General features: G+C 34.7%; 1 non-coding gene across 1 annotated transcript; it reads right to left on the bottom strand.

Moving 5' to 3' along the window:
- Positions 1–269: 269 nt before the first annotated feature.
- LOC124900230 (small nucleolar RNA SNORD66) lies at positions 270–345 on the bottom strand. Its single transcript, XR_007059957.1, has one exon. It is a non-coding gene; the product is annotated as a small nucleolar RNA SNORD66 (small nucleolar RNA).
- Positions 346–2901: the final 2556 nt, after the last annotated feature.

Raw genomic sequence — 2901 nt, 5'->3', positions numbered from 1 at the left:
TGATTAGCCTAAAGTATTTTTGGTATGGTTAAGAGTATGCATCTTTGTTAATTGAAGACACTCCTCTCTGATAATATCAATAGTTATCATATGGATGAATTTTATGGGAAGATAATTTACTCCCACTGGGAGCTGGCCTCTAAGATCTGTCTATGACATCAGTTTCAGAGCTCACCCTTGCCAGGAAATATAAAGAAATTCCCTCTCCAGTTCATCAATATTTTGCCCCTGTCCATGATCCTTTTTTTTTTTTTTATCTTTTTTTTCTCTTCCTCAGATTCTCAGTTCCATCATGGGTTCTCCGTGGCCCAGACAGGTGGCACTAACATGAAGTCATCAGAGGACCATGATCCTTCAAGCTCTTAATGATCAAGCCACAGCCTGAAGAGAGTAAAGAGAAATGTTCTTTATATGCCCTAATAGTATCCCCATTTTTCTTATTTTCTTAGTATATGGAAGAATTTGACTTATGATTTCAGAGGATAAGCAGTGTTCCTCTGTTTATTACCAATAGTTCATATGCTTGATTCCCCACCAAACTCTAAGTTCTTGGGGGCAAAAACTGTGCCTTTCTGTCTTCTGGGTGTTTTCAGTCAAGTGCAAGTGAAAGGCACAGTTGGCACTCGGGGCATCTGTTGGACGAATAAGAGAATGAATGGTAAAAATGAATAAATAAATGAAATGAATGTAAAGTAAGACATGAAATAATTTTAATTTTATTCTCAAGAAAGCTGTTTCTCATTGAAGTATCACTGTACATTTGATCCCTTTATTCCTTATTTTGACCCCAATTTAGCAATCCACAAGCTGGATGAACTTGAGCATGTTATTTAACTTCACTAATATTTTTTGTTTCCTCATTCTTAAAATGGGAATAAAAATCCTTATTTCTCAGGGTAATGCAACTCAATGAATGAGAAGTCCTCATAAAAGAGCATGCATGGGAGTTCAGTATATGGCAATAAACTTATTATTGTACTTGTTGCTTCCTGACACTGCATGATTGAAACGACATCACAATGGCATTCTTTTTTTTTTTAAGATGTTCTTTCCAGAAAAATAGCTGTGACCATTCCTTGATTTAGCTCCTATGCTTATTATTGTGTATGCTTGATTTTACTGGAGATTAGATCTCATCGTACATTATATTACTGTAATAGGTTATAAATCTTAAAGCCAGTGTCATACAATGAAGAAATGCAACAGCAAGCAGGGTTCTTCCCTAAACATTACTTGAAGGCTTCTGAGTTCCTTTGTAAATTTCCATCTGCTTAAAAATATTTGAACTCATTTTTAAATTTCAGGGGCTTAATGTTACTTATAGCGTATGAGAGTTCAGATTCAAAATCAGCCTCAGCTGGGACAAACCTGAACATTCTAATCAGGTTACTGTCATTCTGCTATTTGACTGGAGATTACACAGAGAATCCATGTAATTTTAATTTTGTGAGCACCTGACCTGAAAGTCACTAAAGGAATACTCTGTACTCACATTCACTATAGACAGGCATTCTTTCCACTAAATTTATGGACTTGTAAATTGTGTCATAAAACAAGTAGAAGAGTGGGAGAGTAAAGTGTAATTAGATAGGCGGTCTCAGGCTCAAGATAATATAGGGACCCATATTATGTGACTGTGGCAATGGTTCTCTCATTAGAAGATGTTACAGTTGAAGTATCTGTTAGTTTAGGTGTCCTGAGGTATTTGTTTTCTTTGTTCTTGTGATCTGTACTAACTAAAAATTTGTAAAATTTCCAGAACAAATAAAATCACAAATTATGTTACATCATTTTCTAGCTGGTTTGGAGTTTTTTGGTGGTTTTATCATATCACCAAAAATTCTACCTATTTTTCCCAGATTTGCCCTGGGAAGGTGAGCTTCCTGTTGCAATTAGGGGAGCAATTGCATAATTGCCTCAAAGTTCAAAATCTGATGTAGCTTTATCATCAAGCCAGACCTATTTAGAGCCCTGGAAGGTTATTATTTCATTTAAATGTTCATAGCCCAGATCAGGCCTGTGAAACAAAGAGAGTAGGTAGGTCTCTTATCTAGCATCCATTTGGGGATAAATAGGGGACTTAGAAGCACAATCTTTTTTTTATCACAAAAGCTATATTTCTCACATATTTGAGCAATGTGTCTCAAGGATTATACAGCCAGCTCTACCTATCCATGGGGTTTCTATCCATAGATTCAACCAACTGTAGATTCAAAAAAGTTGAAAAAAAGGATAAAAAAAACCAACACAATAAAAATATTCAAATAAAAATCAGTATAACAACAATTTACATAGCATTTACATTGTATTAGGTATTATAAGTAATTTAGAGATGATTTAAAGTACATGGGGAGATGTGCAGACGTTATATGCGAATACTATCGGAATTGAGCATCTGCTAATTTTGGTATCTGTGGATGTTGTGGAGCCAATCCCCCACAGATACCAAAGGACTACTCTATATTTTATGCCTCCATTCATCCCAGCTCTTCAATGTTCTTCTTTTAATTTTATCTCCAGCCTTCCTAATTTTTATGTGTTTCTGGGTTACATATAAAGTCAATTGCAATTTCCAGAATTTTTTTCTAAAGAAAAGTTTTGTGAGAGTGGCATAACCTCCTAATTCAGCTTAGTTTTATATGACTGCATCACTTACTATATTCATAATCCTTCTTCTGTGTGGGAGATATTGTAATTTTATACACTGTACACCTATTGCAGAATACACATTCTACACTTATTTCAAGTAAGTCAGGCATGAGATACATTCTTCTAAGGTAAGATTGATAAGAATCTAATAATTTCAGAGATGGGTACAAAACAAAACACAAAATTTTTTGGTACATTAAGTTTGGAATTATCAGAAAAGGCTTTAAGGAGCTTAATTTTAGAACACTTCTG

The sequence above is a fragment of the Homo sapiens genome, chromosome 6 (genome assembly GCF_000001405.40).
Source record: "Homo sapiens chromosome 6, GRCh38.p14 Primary Assembly".
NCBI classification, from domain to species: Eukaryota; Metazoa; Chordata; class Mammalia; order Primates; family Hominidae; genus Homo; species Homo sapiens.
The sequence above is the reverse complement of the archived record's forward strand: the minus strand, read 5'-3'. Positions and strand labels throughout refer to the sequence as shown.